Raw genomic sequence first — 27,233 nt, 5'->3', positions numbered from 1 at the left:
TCCATCACCAAGTCCCTGAGTTCCCTGCCGGTGGTTTCTGTGGAGGTGCTGTCTTCATGTGCAGTGATTCCTGATGCCCTCTCTGTAACCCCAGTTACTTTGGCCCTTTCCCCCATTTTCTCCTAAGGGCCTCAATTTGCAAAAATGCCCAGGCTCTTGCTTCTTCGATCTGCTCTGCTCTTATGATCTGGCTTTAATACTGCTTATTTCAACAATTTGCACCATGAGGTCTGGCGCACCCCCATTTTGGGAATTCTTTGTTCCATCTTCCTGTTTTCCATGTTGGTTCCTCTATCAAAGCTCAACTCTGCTCCACCCCCCCCACCCCACCCCAATAAATTCATGAGGTTATTTCTCCTCTTACGCCCCTCCTGTCCCTTTCTTTTTCCATCAACATCACTGACCCATCTCACGACCCACATAGTGCCTTCTGACTCCAGACTGGATAAAGTGTGGACCCTTTCACCAGCCATCCTCTGCCTTTTCTTACACTGTTGTCTTTATGAAACCCTCTGATTGGTCTTCAGCATCTAGTCCATGTTCCCTACCACCTCAGGGTCAGTCAGTGCACTCAGGAGTCTTTTCCTTAATGTCTGCTCCCAGCCTGACCTGCCCTCACTGTTGTTGCCACTGCCAGCTTCTTTGTCCCTAACATGCTGTATTCATTCATCTACTGTCTGATTTGAGCTCTGATCATTCTACCTTCTCCGTTCTGCCACTAGGGAGACACTGGTTTCCTCTCTAGATGGCATCCCCCCGACCTTCCTTCCTCTCACCTTCTCCCTCACTGATACATTGTCCCAACATTTCTGAGGTGCCAAACCGCTGCACCCTCCTTCCACTTTGGTCTCCTCCCACCTCTCCCTCATTCTTTGCTTGTCTTACCTGTACCATGATTTCTCCTCCATGGGCTTCTTCATAGACTTTGTAAAGTCTCTGGATTCCCCATGTCTCTCCCTCCTTATTGGTCCTTGGCATAGGACCTCCCACCCCCACCCTTGTGCCCCAACCCCTACACCTTAGAGCTTCAGGCTGTCTCTTTCTCCTTGTGAATATTTTGCTTCACAAGCTACACCTCCATTCATTTCTGCCATTCCTGAACAGCAAAACCAAGGATTTTGATGCAAATTCTCCCTTGCTGGAACATATTCCCTGATCCTCTCAACAAGCTCACCTCTCTAAGCTGCTCGGCTCCATAACCTGCTCCAACTCATTCTTCTTGCCCATTGGGAAACACCTCTCCTCTGTCCTGCTTTTCCACGTGCTGCAAACTCACCCTCTGCTCTCCAAGCTCCCAGCTCCTGGGCCTAGGTTGGTCATTTCTCCTGCTTTCCTCCTCTACTGCATAGCATGGTACTGTCCCACCTGCACCATCCTGCATTCTCTCAGCACGATCTGTGATTCTGCCACTGGCCTAATTCATGTTCTCAGGTGTGTCCTCCTTTCTTGACCAGGCCCCGCACCCACTGCTCCACCAGATGCAGTCATCTCTGCGTCACACGTACTGCACCGAATCCACCTCCTCTGCTGTCCATGCTCACGATCCAGTGGCCAAGGCTATGGGACTTTTCCAGCACACCACAACCCTGACTCCCAGAAGCCTTCCCGATACCTTTCACACCCTTCTCTCTCACACCATGTGGAAACATTCTGGGGAGCCTCTGCCTCTGAATCCCCTGCCTTCTTCCTGTCACCACAGCAGTTTTGTCATCAGCACTCACTCTTATCTCCCCCCACCCTCCTCCTCACATCCACACAAATGCACCCAGTCTCAACCTGACTCTCCTGCCCTGCCTGAGACCCGGCTCCTCCGCTCCACCTGGGTGCTCCTGTCAGTCCCACCCTCCTCCTGCCTCCTCCCTCCTTAGCGCCCATATCTTCAAGACGCTCTCCTTCCACGCTGTCTCCATTCCCCTTTGCGCCTTCCCTCCCCATGACAACAGATCCCCTGCTGTCTGCTCTCACCCGCACAGCCCACATCCTCTGTGTCACTGGACCCTTCTCTGGGCCTCACTCCTCCACCTGAGTCCTCCAGTCTGGGACCGAGGCGTTGGAAACCCCAGCTGCACCACCGTGGTCCCATTGCCTTTGCAGCTACATCCATTTGTTTGCTGTCATCCTTGTCCTGGTCTGTCGGGAACTATGTTCCCACACCTGACAGTCTTGACCCTGATGCCTCCATCAACCCTGCTGCACGTGCGTCTTCCCCTCTCACTCTACATGTCTGCCCGGCTCTCCATCCTCCCGTGTCCACCAGTGATTCTCACCCGAGGATGCAGGACCCCAAGGCGGCCTATCAGAGGCATCTTTTGGGCTCGGTTTTCTCTTTCGCTATTGTCTGCGTTCATTTTAGAGATTGATTTTTTCCCTTACTTTTTCTGAGCTGAACACTGCTTACCCCTCAGATGATTGGATAGGCCTGCCTGGGGGTCCGTGCCCCCAGCCCTCCCTCGGGTGAAACCCACCCCCCCATCCCAGATAAGAATCACTGCTGTGGACGGCCACCTTGACTCCCTGCGACCACCTTGGTTCCCTGCACTTCAGTCTCTCCAGTTTCAGGCCTGGAGCATTCTAGTGCTTTCCTTTAACTTCTTAATCAAATATCTCAGCATTTCCTCCTCTGCCCCTCTCAAATAGGCCTGGCACTCTCCACGTGGAACTACCGCATTCCCTTCCTTATTTTCTCTCTGAAATACAACATAGGTGGAATCCCACTCTTTGTGAGAGTTGTTCTTTCAGTGCCTCCCACCCCACCCTTTGTGCCCCTCCCTGCCACCTGATAGGACTCTCAGGTACTCTGTCCTTACCTTTGGCCTCCACCTGTTCTTCTGGGTGTTGACTATTGTCCCTTTTCCTTAATCACCACTTTTGTGGTAAGGTGCCCCCCTCTAAGAGACTTCCCTTTTGATCCACATAATCCTTTTTGTTTGTAAGAATCCAGCCCCTTACCTTGACCTTGCACCCTACGTGAGGCTACTTTCTTTTTTCCCTGGATTCAGGGTCTTCCCTAGCCTGAATTCATCACCCTCAACCCTGAACATATATAATCTATCAGTTAAATACAGTGGTGTTCTCAATGCTGGGGGCTTGGCTCAACATACCCCACTCCCCACCCCCCACCCACCCTGATTCCCTCTCCCCATGCCCTGCCCCACTCCCACCATTCCCAACCCTGCCCTCCCATGCAACCCCCACCCAAACCCCATCCCCAACCCAGACCCAAACCCCACCCCGAACCCCATCCCCACCACCCACCCTTCCCCACCGGATCCGTAGTAAAGAGCCTGGCCCAAGATTCACACCTTTGCAACAAAGTTCAAGGCTTTAAAAACAGCCATTCCTTCCTGTCTATTGCTGTCCACCCCTTTTACACTTTCCGTTCCCTATGCCGAACCTTGCAGGCTGCTCTGAGCACTCCAAATTCCTTTGTTCCTACTCTGGGACCTGCCCCTTCACCTCACTCCACCTGTGGCTGTCCTGCCCAGCTCCCTTCCACCACTCTTTCTGCCCTCCATCCTTCCCTGGGGGCCCCTCCACCCTGTCTGTCTTCTGTAGGTGACTCCCCTGTTGCACTGCCTCATCGTCCCACTTCCACATTCTTTCTTGAAGCCTTTCCCCTTGCGTCCACATTTCTTCTCCTTGCTTCCTTGGCCAGGGGAAGGTACCTGCCTGTCTGTGGCCCATATTTCTCTCAACCACCCAGGGCCTATTGCTTCATCGGGCTCAGTCATCTCTTCTCCATAGGGATGTGCTCACTACTTTGACCTGCTCTCACTGCTCAAACTTTTCCATCCTCTCTCTATCCCACCTTCTCTTCAAGAACTGTTTTCTGTTGCTCCTCCAGATCTTCCACTGATTCAGGCTAGCGCCTTCCCTTAGGCTGCCTTTTCCTTCCCTTCTTCCACTCAAGCCTTTTCTCCTCTTCTTTCTTTCTGTTCCATCAAGAAGGCTCCCACAAAACTCCACAGCCAGTCCCGCCACTTCCTTCTCTTCCTCATTTCCTCACCTCCTTTATTTCCATTTACCTCAGATGCAGCCCCAGTGAGCCGATGCACCCCTGCCATCGTGCCTGCCCATCTGCTCCCCATCAAGCCCATCTGGATCCATTTCCTCTTAGCCACACTACCCTCACTACACCCATGTTTACAGTTTAAGACTTCTTCTTACACAGGTCTTGCCCTCCATCCTGTTCTACCTTTCCTCCTCTCTTGCTCTCTACCTTGCGTCTTCCAAACATGAAGCCCTCATCCCAGCACCCGACACCCTGACCCTCTCCAAACTCTGGGCATACTCTCTCCCACTGGGCCCATTTGCTACTGACCTAAACATCTCCCACTTAACTTTTGAAGGCCCTCCTCCTCAGCTTCACTATGAACCTCTGCGTATATTTTGCATTACAAGCTATACCTCCATCCTTTCAGCCACCCTTAAACAGCAGAAACGTGGATTCAGTGATTGTTGCAAATTGTCTCCATCGCATTATGTCCTAACAGCTCCTCTGGCCTTTGCAAACACACTTCTACCTACAATCTGGGATCAGTCTGCTTGAGTCCACTGTGAAGTCCCTAAAGTTACCTGTCTGTGGTTTTTATGCAGGTGCCATGTTAGTGTGCAGTGCTGACCAGCTTCCTTTGTTTAACCAATCACTTTGGCCCTTAACCCACTTTCTCCTAAAGGCTGCTGGAGCTATTGCTTCATTCTGCCTCTGTGGTCTGGTCTTAATACCAGGCATACCACCAACGTATCCTGAGATCTGCGGACACCTCAGTTTGGGACTCTGAATTCTGCCTCCCCTCTATTCACTTGGCCCCTTTACCAATGTTGAGACCCTCAAATTCATGAGATTCTCCCCCTATCATGCACCTTCTGTCCTTTTTTATGTCCATCAACTTCCTGGACCCATCTTGAGTCTGACATCATGCCTTGAGGACTTTAGAGCAGTTTCTGTTTTTCTAGTTAAGATGTACTGCACATCCCCCTACTGTTATTTTCCAGAGACCCTCAGCTTCATCTTCAGCATCCACTCCCTCCTCTGCCACTTTCTAAGTCAATGACTGCACTCTGCAGTCATTTCCTTGATGTCAGCTCCCTTCCTGCCCTGCCCTTGCTGCTGCCAACATTGCCATCCTTTTTATCCACAATATGCAGCATTGGATCCATCTGCTATCTTAAGGCACCCTTAACCGTCCTACATTTTTGGTTCTACTATGCTGGAGACAATTGTTTCCTGTCTCAAAGTCAATCCACCTGACATTTCATCAGTTCCCATGCCCTTCATTGACACTGTGGTGCCCAGCTTTTCCAAGGTGCCAGCATCTTCTACATCCTCCTTGTCTATTGCCATCCTCCCTCCTGTCCTTCATTCCTTGCTTATCTTACCCACACTATGCTTTGTCATCCATGAACTGCGTCACACACTTTGCCCCATCTGGGGTAAAGTCCCTGGATTCTCTGCATCCGCTCCCTCCCTCTTGGCGCCTGGCATGCCTCCTTTACTGCAGCGCATCCCTCCTGCTCTCAACAAGCTCTCCTCTCTTAGCTGCTGGGCTCCATTGCCTGCTCCGACTCATTCTTCTTGCCCATTAGGGAACACCTCTCCTCTGTCCTCCTCTCCCATGTGTTGCAAACTCATCCCCTGATGTCCCAGCAGTCAGCCCCTGGGGCGCAGGTTGGTCGTCTCTCCTGCTTTCCTCCTCTACTGCATAGCACGGTACTGTCCCACCTGCACCCTCCTGCATTCTCTCAGCACGATCTGTGATTCTCCCACTGGCCTAATTCGTGATCTCAGGTACCTCCTCCCTTCTTGACCTGGCCCCGCACCCGCTGCTCCGCCAGATGCAGTCATCTCTGCATCACACGTACTGCACTGAATCCACCTGCTCTGCCCAGCTATCAGTGTCCACATCCCAGTGGTCCAGGCTATGGGTACCTTCCAGCACCCCACAACCCTGACTCCCCAAAACCTTCTCAATTCCCTTTGCATCCTTTCTTTCACATTCTTGTGAAAACACTCTGGGGAACATGCGCCTGTGAATTTCCTACCTTCTTCCTGTCACCACAGCACTTTTGTCATCAGCGCTCACTGCTGTCCCCACTCCACCTGCCCACCCTCTTCCCCCACATCCCACGGGTACAAACGCACCCAGTCTCAACCTGACTCTCCCGCCCTGCCTGAAACCCGGCTCCTCCGCTCCTCCTGGGTCCTCCTGTCAGTCCCACCCTCCTCCTGCCTCCTCCCTCCTTAGCACCGATGTCTTCAAGACGCTCTTCTTCCACGCTGTCTCCATTCCCCTTTGCGCCTTTCCTCCCCGTGACAACAGATCCCCTGCTCTCTGCTCTCACCCGCACAGCCCACTTCCTCTGAGTCACTGGGCCCTTCTCTGGGCCTCACTCCTCCACCTGAGTCCTTGAGTCTGGGACCGAGGCGTTGGAAACCCCAGCTGCACCACCGTGGTCCCATTGCCTTTTCAGCTACATCCATTTGTTCGCTGTCATCCTTGTCCTGGTCTGTCAGGAACTGTGTTCTAACACCTGACAGTCTTGACCCTGATGCCTCCATCAGCCCTGCCACACATGCATCTTCCCCTCGCACTCCACGTATCTGCCCGGCTCTCCATCCTCCCGTGTCCACCAGTGATTCTCACCCGAGGATGCAGGACCCCAAGGCGGCCTATCAGAAGCATCTTTTGGGCTCGGTTTCTTCTTTTGCTATTGTCTATGTTCCTTTTAGAGATTGCTTTTTTTTCCCCTTACTTTTTCTGAGCTGAACACTGCTCACCCTTCAGATGATTGGATAGGCCTGCCTGGGGGTCCATGCCCCCAGCCCTCCCTCGGGTGAAACCCACCCCCCACCCCAGATAAGAATCACTGCTGTGGACAGCCACCTTGACTCCCTGGCCTTTACTCTGCCATTTCCAGCATTTATTACTTTGCAGTTCCAGCTACACTTCCTACTCAAAGACCTTAGCATTTCCCTCCCTTACCCCCATGTATGCCAGGCACTCTCTGCTTGAAATCACCTTGTTCTCCTCCCTGTCTACTCACTGAAACACACATGTCTCAAAATCCACTCTGTATGAGAGATTTGTTCTTTAAAATCCCTACAGACACACTTGTGGCCCCACCTACCCATATGACTGTCAGGTGTTATGGACACCCATCAGGTCCTTCCAGGGGCTTCCTGTTTGCCTCAGTCTCTTTACTTTGAACTTCCACCCTACCTGAAGCTACTCTACTGGATTCAGAGGTCTTCTCCAGCCAGTATCCATCACCCCCAGTAGTCAACATGTAATAGTCCACCAGCTCAATTAAGTAAGATGGTTTTTCAAATGCCTAGAGTTTGGTTTGCCTCCCCCCACCCCCATTCCCACCCCCACCCATATCCCCACCCCTTTCCCACTTGCAATCCCACTGCTCCCAACCCCCACCCAAACCCCATCCCAAACCCAATCCCAAATCCCACCCCGAACCCCATCCCCACCACCCACCCTTTCCCGCCGGATCCGTAGTAAAGAGCCTGGCCCAAGATTCACACCTTTGCAACAAAGTTCAAGGCTTTAAGAGCAGTCATTCCTTCCTGCCCATTGCTGTCCACCCCTCTTATACTTTCCCTTCCCCATGCTGAACCTTGCAGGCTGCTCTGAGCACTCCAAATTCCTTTGTTCCTACTCTGGGACCTGCCCCTTCACCTCACTCCACCTATGGCTGTCCTGCCTGTGGCTGTCCTGCCCAGCTCCCTTCCACCACGCTTTCTGCCCTCCATCCTTCCCTGGGGGCCCCTCCACCCTGTCTTCTGTAGGTGACTCCCCCGTTGCGCTGCCTTATCGTCCCACTTCCACATTCTTTCTTGAAGCCTTTCCCCTTGCGTCCACATTTCTTCTCCTTGCTTCCTTGGCCAAGGGAAGGTACCTGCCTGTCTGTGGCCCATATTTCTCTCAACCACCCAGGGCCTATTGCTTCATCGGGCTCAGTCATCTCTTCTCCATAGGGATGTGCTCACTACTTTGACCTGCTCTCCTCACCGCTCAAACTTTTCCTTCCTCTCTCTATCCCACCTTCTCTTCAAGAACTGTTTTCTGTTGCTCCTCCAGATCTTCCACTGATTCAGGCCAGCGCCTTCCCTTAGGCTGCCTTTTCCTTCCCCTCTTACACTCCAGCCTTTTCTCCTCTTTTTTCTTTCTGTCCCATCAAGAAGGCTCCCACAAAACTCCACAGCCAGTCCCGCCACTTCCTTCTCTTCCTCCTTTCCTCACCTCCTTTATTTCCATTTACCTCAGGTGCGGCCCCAGTGAGCTGATGCATCCCTGCCCATCACATCTACCCTTTCGTTACCCATTCAGGCTGTCCAGGTCACTCATTTCTTCTTTCCCTCTTGGTTGCACTACCTTCACAACACCCGTGTGTAGAATTTAAGACCTTCTTACATAGGTCCCACTCTCTGTCCTCCTCTGCTTTTCCTCCTGTTTTCCTCTAGATGAAGTTTTCCATAAATGAAGTCCACACTCCAGCACCAAACACCCCAGCTCTCTCCAGTCCTTGGCCATACTCTGTCCCATGTACCCAGCTGATACTGATCTAAACTCCCATTACAACTACGAGACCCACTGTGTTTGAGACTCTCCCTTGCCTACTTTATTTCATCTCTATGTACATACTTTCAGCTGTAAGCTATATCTCTATCCTTTTAGCCTTCCGTGACAGCAGAAGCTCAGATTCAGTGATCATTCTGAATTGCTTCCTCTGCATTGGTTCCTAACTACTCCTCCACTATTTGCAAGCATCTTTCTACCCACACAATAGACTCAAACCACGAGTCCATTGCCAAGTCCCTGAGGTTACCATGCCCAGTGCCATCTTACCATGCAGTGATGCTATTTCCTTCATTTAACCTGAGTCATTTGTCCCCATCCCCCACATTCTCCTGTGGACCTAGTTCCGCATATTCCTGGGCTCTTGCATCTGCTCTGATCCTACAGTCTGGCCTTGATGACGGTCATGAAACCAACTTTTCACATGAGATCTGTCAGTGCCCCAGTTTGAGAACTCTGCATTCCCCTCACTTTTCCACCTTGGCCCCTTGACCAGCATTCATCACCCCCACAGATTTGTGAGGTTGTCTCCTGTTAAATGCTTTCAGTCCCTTTCTTTTCCTATTCACTTACGTGACCCAACATGCATCCCATATGCCACCTCAAATGGCTGCCCCACTCCCACGTCTCTCTTTTTCTCCTCAGGATTCACATTAAAACCTTGCATCACTCATCCACCCATTTTCTCCCACTGTTCTCTTCCAGACACCCTCCACTTCGTCTTCAGCATCCAATTCTTCCTTCCCTACCCTCACTGCTGCCACCATTGCCACAGCCTCTTTATCCCCAGCATGCTGTACTGAGTCCATCTGCTGTTTGAAACCATCCTACCTTGTCTGTTCCACCATGGCGGACACAGTCCTTTCCTCTGTCGAACTCAATCCACCTGACCTTTCATCATCTCACCACACCCTTCATTGACACGTGGTCCCCTGTGTTTCCAAGGTAGCAGCACTTCTATGCCCTGCTTCTCCCTTGGCCTCCTCCCACCTCTCTTTCATTCCTTGCTTATCTTACCCACACTATGCTTTGTCATCCATGAACTGCGTCACACACTTTGCCCCATCTGGGGTAAAGTCCCTGGATTCTCTGCATCCGCTCCCTCCCTCTTGGCGCCTGGCATGCCTCCTTTACTGCAGCGCATCCCTCCTGCTCTCAACAGGCTCTCCTCTCTTAGCTGCTGGGCTCCATTGCCTGCTCCGACTCATTCTTCTTGCCCATTAGGGAACACCTCTCCTCTGTCCTCCTCTCCCATGTGTTGCAAACTCATCCCCTGATGTCCCAGCAGTCAGCCCCTGGGGCGCAGGTTGGTCGTTTCTCCTGCTTTCCTCCTCTACTGCATAGCACGGTACTGTCCCACCTGCACCCTCCTGCATTTTTTCAGCACAATCTGTGATTCTCCCACTGGCCTAAGTCGTGAACTCAGGTACCTCCTCCCTTCTTGACCTGGCCCCGCACCCGCTGCTCCACCAGATGCAGTCATCTCTGCATCACACGTACTGCACTGAATCCACCTGCTCTGCCCAGCTATCAGTGTCCACATCCCAGTGGTCCAGGCTATGGGTACCTTCCAGCACCCCACAACCCTGACTCCCCAAAACCTTCTCAATTCCCTTTGCATCCTTTCTTTCACATTCTTGTGAAAACACTCTGGGGAACATGCGCCTGTGAATTTCCTACCTTCTTCCTGTCACCACAGCACTTTTGTCATCAGCGCTCACTCCTGTCCCGCCTCCACCTACCCACCCTCATCCCCCTGCCCCGCCAGCACAAACGCACCCAGTCTCAACCTGACTCTCCCGCCCTGCCTGAGACCCGGCTCCTCCGCTCCTCCTGGGTGCTCCTGTCAGTCCCACCCTCCTCCTGCCTCCTCCCTCCTTAGCACCGATGTCTTCAAGACGCTCTCCTTCCACGCTGTCTCCATTCCCCTTTGTGCCTTTCCTCCCCGTGACAACAGATCCCCTGCTCTCTGCTCTCACCCGCACAGCCCACTTCCTCTGAGTCACTGGGCCCTTCTCTGGGCCTCACTCCTCCACCTGAGTCCTTGAGTCTGGGACCGAGGCGTTGGAAACCCCAGCTGCACCACCGTGGTCCCATTGCCTTTTCAGCTACATCCATTTGTTAGCTGTCATCCTTGTCCTGGTCTGTCGGGAACTGTGTTCCCACACCTGACAGTCTTGACCCTGATGGCCTCCATCAGCCCCACTGCACGTGCGTCTTCCCCTCGCACTCCACGTATCTGCCCGGCTCTCCATCCTCCCACATCCACCAGTGATTCTCACCCGAGGATGCAGGACCCCAAGGCGGCCTATCAGAAGCATCTTTTGGGCTCGGTTTCTTCTTTTGCTATTGTCTATGTTCCTTTTAGAGATTGCTTTTTTTTTCCTTTACTTTTTCTGAGCTGAACACTGCTCACCCTTCAGATGATTGGATAGGCCTGCCTGGGGGTCCATGCCCCCAGCCCTCCCTCGGGTGAAACCCACCCCCCACCTCAGATAAGAATCACTGATGTGGACAGCCACCTTGACTCCCTATGGCCACCTGGACTCCCTGCACTTCAGTCTCCCGTTTGAGGCCTGGAGCCTTCTTTTTTTTTTTTTTTGAGAGAAGAGTTTCACTCTGTCGCCCAAGGCTGGAGTGCAGTGGTGCGATCTCGGCTCACTGCACCCTCACCTCTGGACTTCAAGCAATTCTCCTGCCTCAGCCTCCCAAGTAGCTGGGATTACAGGCATCCACCACCACGCCCAGCTGATTTTTTTCTTTTTAAGTAGAGACAGGGTTTCGCCATGTTGGCCAGGCTGGTCTCGAACTCCTGACCTCAAGCGATCCACCCACCTTGGCCTCCCAAGCCTGGAGCCTTCTTGTGCTTGCATTTACTGTTGAAGATCATTGTTTTGAAGGGCCAGAATGCCCCTTTATACCTGTTTTTGTTTGTTCGTTTTTTTACTACTTCTTTCATGTGCTTTTTATACTTCTTACTTAGCATTTTTTGTGTTTTTCGCATTCTAACTAACCTGGTAGTCTTCCCATGGAAGCACTTTCTTTTGCACATTTCCTTTTCTTCTGCACATTTCCTTTTCTTCCTCTGGCATCCTTCCACCCCATTCTTCCCATGCCTCGTTTCTCTACTCCACACTCGCCCTCCGACTCTTGAAAAGGATTTCTCTTAAAGATCTACATTGAAACTTTGACCCTTCAGTACATGAAAGCGACCTATACTCTAAACCCCCTTCGTATCGGCCTGATAGCTTCCACACCCGTACAATATTTTCTGTTCTTATTTTAATATTTCCTATCCTTGAAGTTTACATACTGTGACACAGGTGGCAAGATTCCACCTTTAGGACTGCCTCCAGTTACTCCCCACTCCTCTTATCCCCATCATGCATTCTTTTTACTGTACTATAGTATTTTCATTATCTTCATACTGTTAATCCATGCATCTTTCCTATCTTTTCATTATTATTCAGGATGTTTTCATCTCATTTTTGGATTTTCTTAAAGACTCTCTTAGTCCTACCTGGAAGCTCATTTGGCAATCCATTCTGCACCTCTTTTTCTCTTCTTTGACACTTTGAAGCCCCTGTGCCACTATAATCTGTTTACCACTGTCTTTCTGGTGCAGTGAGCAGCCCTTTCTAGATGTGGATGTGCACCCTTCAATTCCATTTCCTGGTTCCCTTTCCCCTGTCTCAGCTCAGTTCCTCTACTCATTTCTGAACTTCTTTCCTCCTTTTTGGAATCACATTTAAGTATACTACTCAATCTACGGTGCCTCTCCACCTTTTTTGTTTTTGCCTTTTTCTAATATTCTACTCTGATGCATATAGTTGTCTTCTGACTTGCTTCTTTTCTACCTCACCCTTTTTCCCTTCCATATCTTTGGTCCATCTTTAATCATATAACTCTTTTCTTAATTTATGCTCTTGTTCTTCTGACCTCATTGTTTCTGGGTTTCCTTATTGTGAAGCTGATTTGCCCTGTGTTTACTTAAGTTACTCTGAAATGTTGCCAAATCCATGCAGTGCTCTTTTTATTTAGTGTCCATCACTTGTTTTCTTCCTTGTTCCATATGATACGATTATAGTGGCAAATCTTATTTTTTAGTATGTCATCCTCGCATGACTTTTCCCATCCTAAGGTAAATTTTAAATGCCTTTTCCCTTTATTCTGTTGTTTTTCTTTTTCTGCCTTGGAAGAGCACATTGTTAACCACCCATACACTGTGTGTCACTCCTGTGTATTCACTAAGATCTTGCTGTCAGGCACCTCCTTCTGTTTGCTATTCACTGCTCAGTCCCTTTCGGTATTTCTTCTTTCCAGCATACTGTGCTGAACTGCTTTAGTTCTCTGTTTGTTCCTTGGTAGGATGCCTGCCACTTGCCTTGTTTTATGTCCACTTCACTGAATGTGTTGCTAATCTTTCTGTCCGTTGCACTTTTTAATGCAAATGTACTTTCCTGGACACTGTCTCTCTTATGTCCAATTTTTAGTTATCATTTTATCTTGTCCCTTTCTTTCTCCCTTGAAGAACTGCCTACACAGTTTTCTTCCTGACTCGACTTTTCAAGTACAAGCAATTTTCATTATCCTGTGTGCTTGAATAATAATTTTTGGTGGCAAACACTTACATTGCATTATCTTAAATTTGAAAAAGCTCTTATCCATCTCCCTTTAAAAAAACTCAACCTATTTTCTCAGTCATCACTAAAACACTATGATAAAAGAAAACTTTTAAGTATTTTTCATAATATACACCATTTTAAAGGATAATGACCTAATTATTTAACATATCATCAGTTCATTAGCAGACATGTTTGTGTGTAATACAAAATGGTCTCCTACTATAATAAAGACTATAATTGCATTTGCCTTCTATACTGCAAGGAACAATGGAATGTTTTCAATATAAATAACAAATGCATATACATTTTTAAATAAAATATAAAAACAAGAAGTTTTTTGGAAATATTTACTTACCACCTGATGAGTTGCTTGAATTGTCCCGCTCATATTATGGAGAAGATGACAGGAATAATGCATAACACATTTAACATCCTTCAGCATAGGGAATGAGCCTATCAGCACAAGAACCACGGCAAAAATATGCTATCTCAAGTAGGCTTGGGTGCAAGCTAAAAGTTTTTGTTAGCACAAGAATGCTAACTCACTGCACCAGATTTTCTAAGTACATGGTGAGATGTATATATAATGTAAATCTTTTCATATTAACAAGTATTTAGGCTGTATGAGCAGATAGCTGGTGATATCTGAATTCCTCATTCTGGTCTCAATAATATTTGCTGTTTCATACCTTGCATATTCCAAACCCAGACTAAGTCATACATTTTTTTCCTCCAACCAAGCATCTTCTCCTCTCCCTTTTCCTTTTTCTTTTTTATATACACAGGTCTTCTCAGTTGCTTAACTTTCAGCCAATCCTAACATTATTTCTTAACTTCTTGGCCAATTTAACATCATACTTACTGCTATGTCCTTTTGTAACTCCCTTTGAATATCTGCCCTGCCATATCGTAAATATTCTACAAATCATTTACCCACTGACTCTATAATAAGTGAATGCTGAATTATTCTCTGGATGTTAACCTTATCATGATTCCCAACCAGTCCTCAACCAATAGCATTCATTTGTTCTACAAAGAATCCCGATCTATACCTGTCAATCCTCATGTTTTTAAGGTTTCCACCAATGGCTTCTTATCAGGGTTTATCTTAATTCATCTCCTTCTAACCTTCCCTAGCAAGCAGTCACTTAAGAAATAAATTTCCCACTAAGACTTCAAGTGCCAGCCTATCCAACTTCTATTCTTTTTCAGACTCCTGATCTTTTCTCATTCTGTATACAGTTCTTCTGCAATCTGACAGTTCTGTTTCTTTAATTTATACTTGATCTGTCTTATTGTTTTTCCACCTACTCAAAACTGCTTTCTAATTCATACAACGTCCCATTTATTGACTTGCTATCCTCTGTTTCTTTTTTCTATCATGAGCTTTGGCTTAAGTATAGAGCAACAGCCATTTTTCCTGTCAATATCTGTGACTATTCAAATAATGTCTTTCCATTTACAAACAACCTGAACATTTCCCTTCTACTCCTTTTCTCCTTTTTCTCTTTCTCCTTTGGCTGCAAACTCCTTACATTTTCTCCAGCATTCTTTCTTCATTCAGCTGTATCATTTAGTGGATATAAACATCTCTTTTGGATGATATGTACACTCTTGATATTCAGCACTATTCAACCATCTTCCATCTTCCTCACTTTGTACTTAATCTCTTTCCACCCTCCATTCAGTCTGGACATCCTGGGATCCCTGCTCTGACCCATTTTAAGTCCGTCGCATTAATCTTTCTCTAACCTCCCATTCTGTTGACTCCACCAATTGCTTCAAATCTTTTTCCAACAAAGCTTTCTGGGCAGCACCAAATACTCCAGTTCTTATTTGCTATGTTCTCACTCCCCCCTTTTCTCCCATGGTTGGTATCTAGCTTAACATACAACTCCACTGAACTTGTAATTCTGATTCTCAGTGCTCCTCATCCCGGCCCTCCTTATACCCTTCCCTGTTTAACATTTTGCAAAATTGCATTGCATGCTCAGCACCCCAACCTAAATCTAACATGTCTTCTCCTTCCTTAATTGTAGCTTCAATTTTTCTCAACTTTTTCCTTCTCTACTCTTTTTTTTTTTTTTTTTTGAGACAGAGTCTCACTCTGTTGCCCAGGCTGGAGTGCAGTGGTGCCATCTCGGCTCACTGCAGCCTCCACCTCCGGGGTTCAAGCAGTTTTCCTGCCTCAGCCTCCCGAGTAGCTGGGCTTACAGGCATGTGCCACCACTCCCAGCTAATTTTTTTGTATTTTTAGTAGAGACGGGGTTTCTCCATGTTGGCCAGGCTGGTCTCGAACTCCTGACCTCAGGTGATCTGCCCCCCTTGGCCTCCCAGAGTGTTGGGATTACAGGCATGAGCAACTGTGCCCAGCCTACTCACTCTTTTTTATACATATCTTAATAGTTGCTCTTACAGCCAGTTCTAACATAATATTTCTGTTCTGAGCAAATCTTAGTATCATACTTCAGCAAGTTCTTCCTAATTTCCTTTATTTGCACTGTCATATATATTAACATCAGTATTATCAGCTTCCATCGATAATCACAGTGATGGATACATCATTCTTCTCAAGGTATACTCTTGAGGTATACTCCCTCAATGCCACCCACCTGCTCCATACCAAATACAGATCATCTTCTCACCAAATAAACCACTTGCCCATGCTCTCCAGTTGCTCTCTCAAACCAGTCTTTCAGGTGCTATCAGTGGCTTTGAATCAAGATTCACCCTGATCTTCCCCCTCTACCCTTTCTTATCAACAAAGCTCTTTAATTAAAACTTTTCATTCCCCCAAAATGAATACACCCACTTCTTCCTATCTTGATGTTACATTTGCTTCAGATCTTTTTTAAAGAAACCAAATATTGCACATATAGTTGAGACTTCCTCGGTATCACTCCCCAAAATCATTTACCTCTCTCCCTTCCAAGAGAAAATCACTACATGAATCTGATACTTATCCTCATACATATTTTCATAATTTTACTACATATCCATAATTAATACGTAGTGCTGTGTTTGCAATGCTGTATAAATGTATGTATATGTGTTCTCAATAGAAAAAACTTCCCATCAAGACTTGAAGAGCTAGTCTGTTTTCTGGCTCCTGCTCGTATTCAGGCCTTCGCTGCTCTTCACCATCTACACCACTCATTGCAATCTTCAACAACACACATTTAACCCATTAGACTCCTTCTGAGATTTGACAGATTTCTCCATTCCAGTTCTTTTTAGTCCACAGCTTATTTGTCTTTTTGCAACTTGACCACTCAGAACCCTGCTCTAATTAACACAGTGCTCCCATTACTTAGATGAAAAATCCTTTCTTCTTATCCTGTTATGCTCTATCATATCTTACCTATCCATTTTGGCTACTAGCATTAAATTATCATAGCAGTGGATATAGCATTATACTCTTGAGGTTTACTTCCCTCATGATTCCCTACCAGTCCTCAAGAAATACAATTAATTTCCTCTACAGACAAACTACTCACCCACCCTCCCTAAATGGTCAATACCGATGTATTTAAAGGTTGCTAGCAGTACCTTTTTAGGAGAATTCATCTTAATAAAACTCCCTTAAACTTTCTTATTAACCAAGTTTTTAACCAAAAATTTCTACCTACAGCATCAAGAGCTAATCTACTAATTCCCATTTCTGCCTGGGTCCCCGAAGCTCTGTTAGATGCACCATTCATTACCATTGGGCCTTCCCACCCAATTTGACCACTTGGGCCCATTTTGAGATCTTAGCAGTTTCCCCTTTTAAAAATACATCTGATCTGCCTAGTTGCCACTCCATCTAGTCTTAACTTTTGTCTGTTTTATACGATGGTCCTTTACTCAGCTAGCCAGCTCTCTCTTCCTTCTTATTCCATCATAACCTTGATCCAAGAATGGTTCCTTTACCCCCCAGTCAATACCTGCCTTTCCTCCAGTCATCCCCTCACATCAGCAGGAACCCTTCACTTTCTTCTTCCATTCCTTTCTTCCTCATTTTGCCCCAGAGAATCATGCTGCTATATCTTCTGTGTCCCTCCTTCTTTCAGCTGTCACCTGTGTGTCATTCTTAGGGACTCAATGGGTTCTTCTGGATACTCCCCTCCCCATGGGCACTCGCTGCTCAGCCCACTGCCCTCTGCCCTGTGCCACATTCTCCACTGTATTTGTCTGTGCTCTCAGATCTGCCTACACTTTCATAGGATTCTTGCCACTGGCCTGCCCTTTATGCCCATCCCATTTAGCCTCTCTCACCTCTCACCATACTGACCAAACCCATTACTTCTAACATTTTTCCAACAAAGCTTCCTGGACAGCAAAACCTTATGCCCTGGCTCTTACTTTGCCACCTTCTTACCTTACTCTCTCCTTGTTAATACACAACTCTGACAAATTCCCAACTCTCATTTCCTAATATTCCCATTTAGCCCTCTTTAATGCCCTTCCATATCTGTTGTTTTTCTGCACTGCATGTTCTGCCCCCTACCTCATTCACACGTTCTCTTTCCCTATTTAGCATCCAACCTCCATCTTTTGTTCTCTCCTTCTTTGCGATTTTTGCATATAAGTCTCCTCAGTTGCTTCTCTCACTTTTGGCAAGTCCTAATATGTTTTCTTAATTTCTGAGTACATCCTTAATGTCCCTCTCAGAACATTTTTCCAGATTTCCCTTTGGAGGCTTCCCCTGTATAGCCTAACCTTTCATAGTGATGGATACATATTCTTTTTGAGGTTTCCTCCCCTCATATCCCCACTGTCTCCCTCATTCAAAACCAGTTTTCTACTCTTCAGATAAGCCTTCCCTTCCCCTTAGATAGCATCTAACCTGGCTTCTTTATTTTCCATCATGACCTTTCGCCCAAGTATGGTGCCAAATACCTCCAGTTAGTATCATTGACACTTTTTTTGGTCAATACTAAGTGATGCCTTCTCGTCTGGAAGCAATTTTAACTTCACTATTGTACACCTTTTTATTTTGCCTTATAAAAACTATATTCAGTATCCCTCCTTCATTCAGAGACTGTGTATGTCAGTTCCATAGATTCAGTACTGTCTTTTGGATAAACAGACCCCTCACACTCAACACTCACTGTTCAGACTGCACACTGGATCTGAGATCCACAGCTTCCTGAACAGTGACCCCTCATAACCTCAATTCTTACCTAGCCACGTTCTCTCCTTCCTCTGTCTACTTGAGTGGCTGTGACTGGATTAACATAAAATCACTCTACCAGAGTTGCTACTCTCCCTGTCCCAGTATTCCTCATCCTGTCATGCTTCAGTGCCCTTCCTCACTGGCCTGCTTACTGTGCTGCAAGTTCAGCCTCCAGCCTCATTCATTTATCCCTTCCCTTTTGTACCCTCCATCACCTCCATTCTCTCCATCTCTCCTCTCCTTTCATTCAAGTCTCTTCAGTTGCTTCTTTTAATTTTCAGCTGACCCTAACACAACAGTTGCTAGCAGAGGCTCTTTATCAGAATTGTTCCTAGCCTGCCTTTGTCTAAAGCAGTGGTTCTCCAACTGCAGCTGGTTAAAACAAGCTGCAGGGCCTTACCCCAGGATGTGGTTTGGATCTGTATCCCTACTCAAATCTCATGTCGAACTGTCATCCCCAGTGTTGGAGGTAGGGCCTAGTGGGAGGTGACTGGGTCATGAGGCCAGTTTCTCATAAATGGTTTAGCACCATCCCCTTGGTGCTGTTCTTGTGATAGAGTTCTTACACGACCTGACTGTTTTCAGTGTGTGGTACCTCCTCCCACTCTCTATCTTTCTCCTGTGAAGTGCTGGCTCCCCACCATTCACCTGCCGCCATGATTGTAAGTTTCCTGAGGCTTCCTCAGCCATGCTTCCTGTACAGCCTGTGGAACCTTGAGCCAATTAGACTTCTTTTCTTTATAAGTTACCCAGTCCCAGGTATTTCTTTATAGCAATGTGAGAACAGATTAATGCACCCTGAGTTTCTGACTGACTAGGTCTGGGGGAGGGGAAAAGAATTCATATTTCTAACAGATTCCTAGATAGTGCCATGTAACACATTCTAAGAAGCATTGCTCTTCAACTTCTCCCTCAACCAAGCCCTTTAATTAAAAATCTCCCACTAAGGCATCAAGAGCGAGTCTACTGACTCATTCCTATTCAGGTCTTTCCTTCTCTCCCATATACTAGTCACTGCAATCTGGCCTTACACCCACTGAATTTGGCCAGTTGGGCCCATTCTGAGATCTGGCAGGATTCTCCAGGCATCTTTATGGCGCTGTGGTCTTTCTTATTACCACGCCACCTTTTCAGAATCATTATCTAGTTTATTTAATGCTCCCCTTAGCTTTAACCCCTCTTCATGTCTTTTGGCCCAAATATGGGACTGTCTCTCCAGTCAGTCCTGCCATTCTTCAAATGACCTTTTCATCTGGAGTCAACTTTAATGTTTTCTCCTATTCCTTTTCTCCTTGTTACCTATCTTGCCCTAAAGATGTACGCTACCTTATCTTCAGCCTCCCTTCTTTTAGCTGCTGTCCATATTTCATTCAGATGGACTCTGTCTCCTCCTGAATGGCACTTCCTAGCCAAATTCTCTCTAGTGTCTGTCTCTCATCTGTAGAAAATCTTCACATGACAGAGTAACTTCTAAGAGTAACTTTAATACCGCACTTACATGATATTCATTTGTTTCTCCCCTTTGGTGATTTGCCCTCCCTTAATTATATAGAGTAAAATTTCATCTACCATCTGTACCTGGAAACAAAGAAGTTTCACCCTTGAGATGGGTTTCCAACATGATCTCCAGCCACTCCTCTTCCAATATTAGTCATCCATTCTACAAACTACTCAAAGATCTATCCTGGTGTCTTTAAGTGCTGCCCTATTAGGGCTCATCTTAATCCATCTCCTTCTAATCCTTCTCATTAAACTTCTCACAAAAGCTTCGCATTACTTTTCAAGCACTTGTTCTTCTTCCATTGTATCTACTGCTTTTCAAAGTCTGCAATTAAGAGCCAACATTTGACTGAATAAACCCACATTTTTTAAGGGTTTACAAGATTTCCCATTCTGGGAAACACTTTCCTCATTTTACCTGTCCATGCCACTCCACCTACGCTTACCTACTCTTTGTATAGTTCTCCCTTTACACAGTTTCCAGTCTCTCCTTATTTAATCTTACACTTATGGGGCCGTATCCCTCCAGTCAATACCTGCCAATCTTCAAATGACTCCGTCTCTTCTGCAGGCTCTTCCACTATTTTCCCCAGTTGACCCTAGTAGAACAACTGTTAGTCACTTGTTTTTTCAGCTATCATCTTGTGTATCATTCTCATGAATTTAGTCTTTTCTTCCTCGTCACCTCCACACTACTCTGAAAACACTTGCACTTTCAGTTCATTCCAGACCTTCATAGGGTTCCTGCCACTGCCTATGGCAAGAATCCATTCCATTTAAACTCCTTGACCTTTCACTCTATTGGTCACACTTGTTGCTTCAAACATCATTCAAGCAAAGATTCCCAGATGGCACTTCCTCATGACACCAGTTCTTATTTATCTACTTACTCTTTGTATTCTCTTTCCTTCTTTGGTTGTAACCCAGCTTAACTCACATCTCTCTACTGCATATGCAGCTCTGCCATCTTCTGGTGTTCCTCATTCTGGCCCTCTTTAATGCCCTTCCCTACCCATACATATATATGTATATGTGTATATATATATATACACACACACACACATATATATATATATATACACACACACACACACACATATATATATATATATATATATATATATATATATTTTTTTTTTTTTTTTTTTAGACAGAATTATTTCACTCTTGTCACCCAGGCTGGAGTGCAGTGTGGCCTGATCTCGGCTCACTGCATCCTCCACCTCCCGGGCTCAAGTGATTCTACTGCCTCAGCCTCCCAAGTAGCTGGGATCACAGGCACCTGCCACCACGCCCAGCTACTTTTTGCATTTTTAGTAGAGATGGGGTTTCACCATGTTGGCGAGGCTGGTATCAAACTCCTGACCTCAAATGATCCACCTGTCTCAGTCCCCTGAAGTGCTGGGATTACAGGCATGAGCCACCGTGCCCAGCCCCTACCCACACTTTATATTCCACACTCCAGCCTAAATCCTACATCTTTTCATCTTTTAGCTTCCAGCCTCCATCTTCTCTTTCTCTTCCCCTGTGATATTTTCATTCATGTTTCCCTAGGAAATGTCTGTCACTTTTAGCCAATCCTCACATAGCAGAGTAACTTCTAGGCAACTTCAGTGGAACACTGTGCAATAGTCTACGATATCTTAACTGTCAGTCATCCTTTCACTTGCCATCTCTCTCTTTTTTCTTTTTTTGAGACGGAAACTCACTCTGTCACCCAGGTTAGAGTGCAGTGGCGTGATTTTGGCTCACTGAAACCTCCAGGATTACAGGCATGTGCCACTACGCCCAGCTAATTTTTGTATTTTTACAAAAATTTTTAGTAGAGACGGGGTTTCACCATCTTGGCCAGGCTGGTCTCAAACTCCTGACCTCAAGTGATCTGCCAGCCTCAGCCTCCCAAAATGCTGGAATTACAAGTGTGAGCCACTGCACCCGGCCTTACCATCTCTACAGAAATAGATATAGACTTTTTTACTTCACTCTTCATAATCACCCATTCCCCATCTAGTAGCAATAATCCATTCTCTGGACAAACTACATGTTCACACTCTCTTAATAAATCAAGCCTAATATTTCTAAAGTTGCCATCTATAGCTTTTTTGTTGTTTTTTGTTTTTTTTTTTTAGATGGAGTTTTGCTCTTGTTGCCCAGGCTGGAGTGCAATGGGGCTTGGCTCATGTTAAATTGTCAGAGTTGTATATTAACAAGGAGAGTTGTGTATTAACAAGGAGAGTTAACAAGGCTCACCAACTCGGCTTACCACAACCTCTGCCTCCTGGGTTCAAGTGATTCTCCTACCTCAGCCTCCCAAGTAGCTGGGATTACAAGCATGGGCCACCACGCCCGGCTAATTTTGTATTTTTTTTTTTTTTTTTTTTTTTTTAGAAGACACAGTGTTTCACCATGTTGGCCAGGCTAGTCTTGAACTCCCAACCTCAGGTGATCCACCTGCCTCAGCCTCCCAAAGTGCTGGGATTACAGGCGTGAGCCACTGCACCCGGCCCATCTATAGCTTTTTATCAGCATTCATCAGTTTATAACTTTCCTATCAAGCAAGTCCTTTAATTAGCCATTCCCTCAAAAGCTTTAAGAGCTAGTCTGCTGCTGCCTCCTACTGAATTCCTTGCTCCTTAACCCTTTCTGTGTATTTCCCATGCAGCCGACCATTTAGACCTAGACAGGATACCCCATTCTAAATCTTTATTCCACACCTGCTCTGCCAGTAGGCCCTTCCTTATGTAATATTTTCTTTCCTTTGCTTCCAGTCTCTTATTTCATACTCTCTTATGACTTTTGGCCCAGCAATGCTGTCTTACCTTCCTGTTGATGTGTGTCATTCCTTAGTGACCAACTCCTTTTCATCTGAGGACAACTCTAATGTTGCTTTCCAGTACCATTCCTCCTTCCCTTTCTGAATTTGTCCTAGAGAAAAACTCCCTCCCACCATTTGTACAGCATTCCCACAGACTCAACACGATTTTCCAGGTAGGTGTGTATTGCTTATTTTGGCACTCACTGCCCAGCTTTCCTCGATGTCCTACACACTATGCTGCACCCATTGCTTCTCAGTTCAGTCCAGACCTGCATAGACTGCTGCAGTTAGCCTGTACAGATCCATCTCTTTTGCCTTCTTTCTAATCTTTTGCCCTAGTGACATACCCTTTTCTTTAATTATTATTCTAACAAAGCTTTCTGGAAATACCTCATAAGTGTCTCTTACTTTGTCATGGTCTCCCCCAGGTGGTTGAGACCTGGCAGCTCCCTCCCACCTTTCCCACTCTGCCCTTTGCCACACTGCATTTTCTGTACCCTGGCCCAACTCACATGTCCCTCTCCTGTCTTAGCTGCCAGCATCTATCTTTTCTCTAATTCGCTGGGTTCTTTTCATACAAATCTCCTTAGTGGTTGACTCTCATTTTCAGTGAATCCTCACAAGACAAGCTTAATTTCAGAGAACAGTTTTAATGCAGATCTTCAGGGCATTCTTTCCTGATTCTCTTTGGTATTTGCCTTGCTTTGTCTGTGTAACTCTCATATTTACATTATGGCAGTGCATTCAGTATTTTCTTGCCATGGAAAGGCCCCCGCATCTTGCCTCCTCGCCCCATTTCGTCATCCTCTCCAGCAGCTTCGACAGATTACTGCCTAGACTTCCTTAGATCCCTGTAACCTCTCATTGTATCAATCAAACCATTTAAGTAAAAAAATTCCCACTAAGGTTTCAGGAACATTATCTCTACTAACACCATTCCTATTTACTTCCTTAATCTCTTTCTCTGTATCAGGTCCTTATATGTAAGTGTCTTCTGTCTTTACCTCCACATAAAACTCAGCCCCTGTGCCCAGTCTGTGATCTGCCTTCATACCTGATGTTGTCTCTTTGTCCTCCTCATTTGCTGTAGCCTCTCTGCTTAATTGGAACCACACTGGGTTGCTATAATTAATGTCTCTCCTGACTCTTCATTCTAACTTGATCATGACCTTTTCCCCTACCATATTCTGTATCTCTTTCATGGTTTAAAAAAAATGCCTCACCTGACCTGTTCTGGCCTTGTGTTAACTTTCACTTCTTTCCCCTTCTCTCTGAAGAAAATCCTATCCTAATTAAACCACAGTCGTTCTTTTCTCAACCCCTAATGGCATTGAAATTGATTCTGCAGGCTTGATAGGTTCATTCTTTCCTATATGGGAAAACCCACTGCCATCGTCTGTTTTCAGCATATTCTGTTGAATCCATCTGCTCTCTGAATTCAGACCCATTCTTCATAGTCCCCACCAGTGGCTTAAATTAGGCACCTTATCTAGCTTATCTCTAACCTTTCAATCTCTTGACTGCCTCAGCTCACCAGAGCCTGTTGGAAAATCATTTGAAATACAAGGTATTTTACAATTTATTCCTAAACAAATTATCTTCTCAGCACCTAGGCATTAGCATGCCTCTTACTGTTTCCAGCTGCCCGGTGGACTTTCTGGCCTCTTTCCTTTTGCCTGTTTGTACATCTTCCTCTGCTTGCCAAAGCTCTTTTGCATCTTTTGAGAGCCAGTTAAACTATTATATCGTTTCACATTTTTTACAGTTTTCCCAGGCTATTTGTTAATCCCGCACCCTCACATGGCACTCTCTTAAAACTTAAAGGATCTATGGCATTGAGTTGTAAAGTCATAGATAGATCACACACACACACAGCCCACACACTTATTTAACTCCTAGACAGCTCCTAGAGACAGAGATCATGTCTCAGTCATCTTTTTATCCAAGTGTCTGGCACATAAGCTTATACCTTTACGTGTAATGTCAACATGTATTGACAGTCACTACATGTGTGGATGGATGAATGGATGGAATTTAAAGTCAAGACTGAGCAGATGAAAGTCTTATTACCCAATCTGTCGTATATGGTCTTCACATCTGAGCCTGTTCTTTCCTCTCCTTGCCTATCCCCCAAATAACTTTTTAACTCTCCCAATATCTAATATTTTTTGTACCTATAAGCTTTTTCCAGACCATAGACAAGATCCTAAATGCCTTTTCTTCATCCCTGCTTGCTAAATCCCCTCCTTCAAACATTTCAGAAAATACTGTCTTTACTTTTTATAAAGACTTCACTTTCCAAAAATGTACCCCCACCTCCATTTCTTATTACTTAACACCACTTGTGTGAAAACATACAACTGCCCACTTGCTTTTCCATTTAAGACACTGACTTTACCAATACTAGAAACTCATTACTGACCTACTCACTTTAGGCTGAAGGTTGACAGATAAAGCAAGTTCTCTCTGGTGATCTGTGGACCCGCCATCAGTCCACAATCTAAAGATAGTATTGAGATGCTGATGAGATTGGTCAATGTTAATCTGATGATCTGTATGCTTTTTACCACAGGTTTTTTTTTTGTTTTTTTTTTTGGTCAGGTCCTACAGCAGTGGTTCTCAAAATATTTATTTTTCAACATTTAGGCCCCTTTGATAGGCATGGCAAAAAGCCCCCAAAAGTACCTCTCTGCTGCTTTCTTCATACCAATAGAGAAACAGTCTGCCCATGTTATCATTTCTGTACTGCTGTAACCCACAGCGTGGAATAGACTTTACATTCATGCTTTGTGAGACTGCCTTCCTGACCCGCTTGTAGGCTGCTTTTGAGAACCACTACCCCAGACAACAGGGCATGTGTGTTTAACTGGAAAATGTGGAACACAGTGCTGAGTACAGATGGAATGATGGAAACGTCTCCCTTGCACTCCCCACTGATGCAGGTTTGCCTCCCTTCTCCTCCAGTTGCAGGCTCCTTTAGCTGCACCATGAAGTTTACAGTCCGGGACTGTGACCCTAACACTGGAGTTCCAGATGAGGATGGGTATGATGATGAGTATGTGGTGAGTCTTCCCAGCATAGAGACTTTCTTTGACACCTTCACAACACTAAGTGACTTCTGCCTTGAGAGAACATTTTTCTAGGAGCATCTGACATAAACTTAAGGGATTTCTATTCTTCTGAAACAGATGACAAATTAGGAGGACCTGGACTAACCCTCCTCTGTAACTGGACAGCACCAGGCCAGAGAGAATTGAGATTTACCACTTCATCATTAAAACAAACTCACCCTTTTTTTTCTTTATAATAGGGATAATTAAGAGATGAAAATAATGACATGATTTTCATTGAGATCAGTTTTATTTAAAATGATTTGGGGAGGGGGTTGGTTTTGTTTTTTGGTTTTTTGTTTTTGCTTCAGCAGCTGTTAGTTTATAGCCAGATCATGGATTAAAAAGCCTTCACAGAATGGAGGGAAAACTTTTTTTAAAAAATATCAACCTCTTAGTGAATGATCAGAGGGTACCGTGTGCCCAGAACTCAGTGGTCAAGTGTGGGTGCAACATGACTACTCTGTACCTCAGGGCTACAGATGTTGATCTGAGGCTCTTGCCAGATGTTCTGTTTTCTTGCTTTCCTTTGCTAAGGGCTACAACATTAGATTTATCCAGACTACAGAACTTAAACTATTTTGGTGGTAGAGTTTTCTCTAGGCTCCGGAGGACCATATTGACTAGTTCCTTTATCTTTGCCCTATAACAGAAAGGACTTTTCTTTACTGACTGCTTATTACCCACTAGCTGGAAGATCTCGAAGTGACTGTGTCTGACCATATTCAGAAAGTACTGAAGCCTAACTTTGCTGCTGCTTGGGAAGAGGTGGGAGATACCTTTGAGAAAGAGGAAACCTTTGCCCTCAGTTCTACCAAAACCCTTGAAGGTGAGACCCATTTTGCTATCAGTATATTGCCTGATAACAGTATAACACCTAACAGGCATATTTGTTACTCCAGAAGAACTCCTTTAAAAAAAAAAAAACTTCATAAATCTCTTACTTAAAAGGCCAGCACCCTGTCTTCATCATCTAATTGATCAGCCATTTTCTAGTCCAGTAGTAGCCTCCCTCTACACATCACCAACAACCCCCTTCACCAACAAACCCTTCCACCCCAGCTCCCAGCATACACTGGTGCAGAGGGAGATCCCTGTGCTTTACTTTCCTAATACTGTCTCATACATCTTCTCAACACAGAGGCTGTCAACAATATCATCACATTTCTGGGCATGCAGCCATGTGAGAGGTCCGATAAAGTACCTGAGAACAAGAATTCCCATTCGCTCTATCTGGCAGGTAAGAAGCTTCCATCAGATTTTCCTTCCATTTTCTTGCAAAGCTTAATAATAGGATATAGATGGGCATCTTATGCCTTGCTGTTGTCCCATCATCCCATTATATGAGTAACAATTTGATACCCAGTCAAAATGAATAATTTGTTTTGCATGCTATTCTTGGTTATTCTTTTAAGATGTACATTTGGCCCAAAACAA

General features: G+C 45.8%; 1 protein-coding gene across 1 annotated transcript in view; it reads left to right on the top strand.

The window, feature by feature from the left end:
* The window catches only part of COPG2 (coat protein complex I subunit gamma 2), a 162,511-nt gene that overhangs the window by 134,439 nt on the left and 839 nt on the right, over positions 1–27,233 (top strand). The window contains exons 21-23 of the mRNA NM_012133.6: positions 25,651–25,748; positions 26,487–26,625; positions 26,938–27,036. Of these exons, the coding sequence (NP_036265.3) occupies positions 25,651–25,748; positions 26,487–26,625; positions 26,938–27,036 (336 nt within the window). The remainder of the gene's footprint in view (positions 1–25,650; positions 25,749–26,486; positions 26,626–26,937; positions 27,037–27,233) is intronic.

Source organism: Homo sapiens, chromosome 7, assembly GCF_000001405.40.
Source record: "Homo sapiens chromosome 7, GRCh38.p14 Primary Assembly".
In the NCBI taxonomy this organism is placed as follows: Eukaryota; Metazoa; Chordata; class Mammalia; order Primates; family Hominidae; genus Homo; species Homo sapiens.
This window is presented reverse-complemented; position numbering and strand designations above follow the sequence as displayed.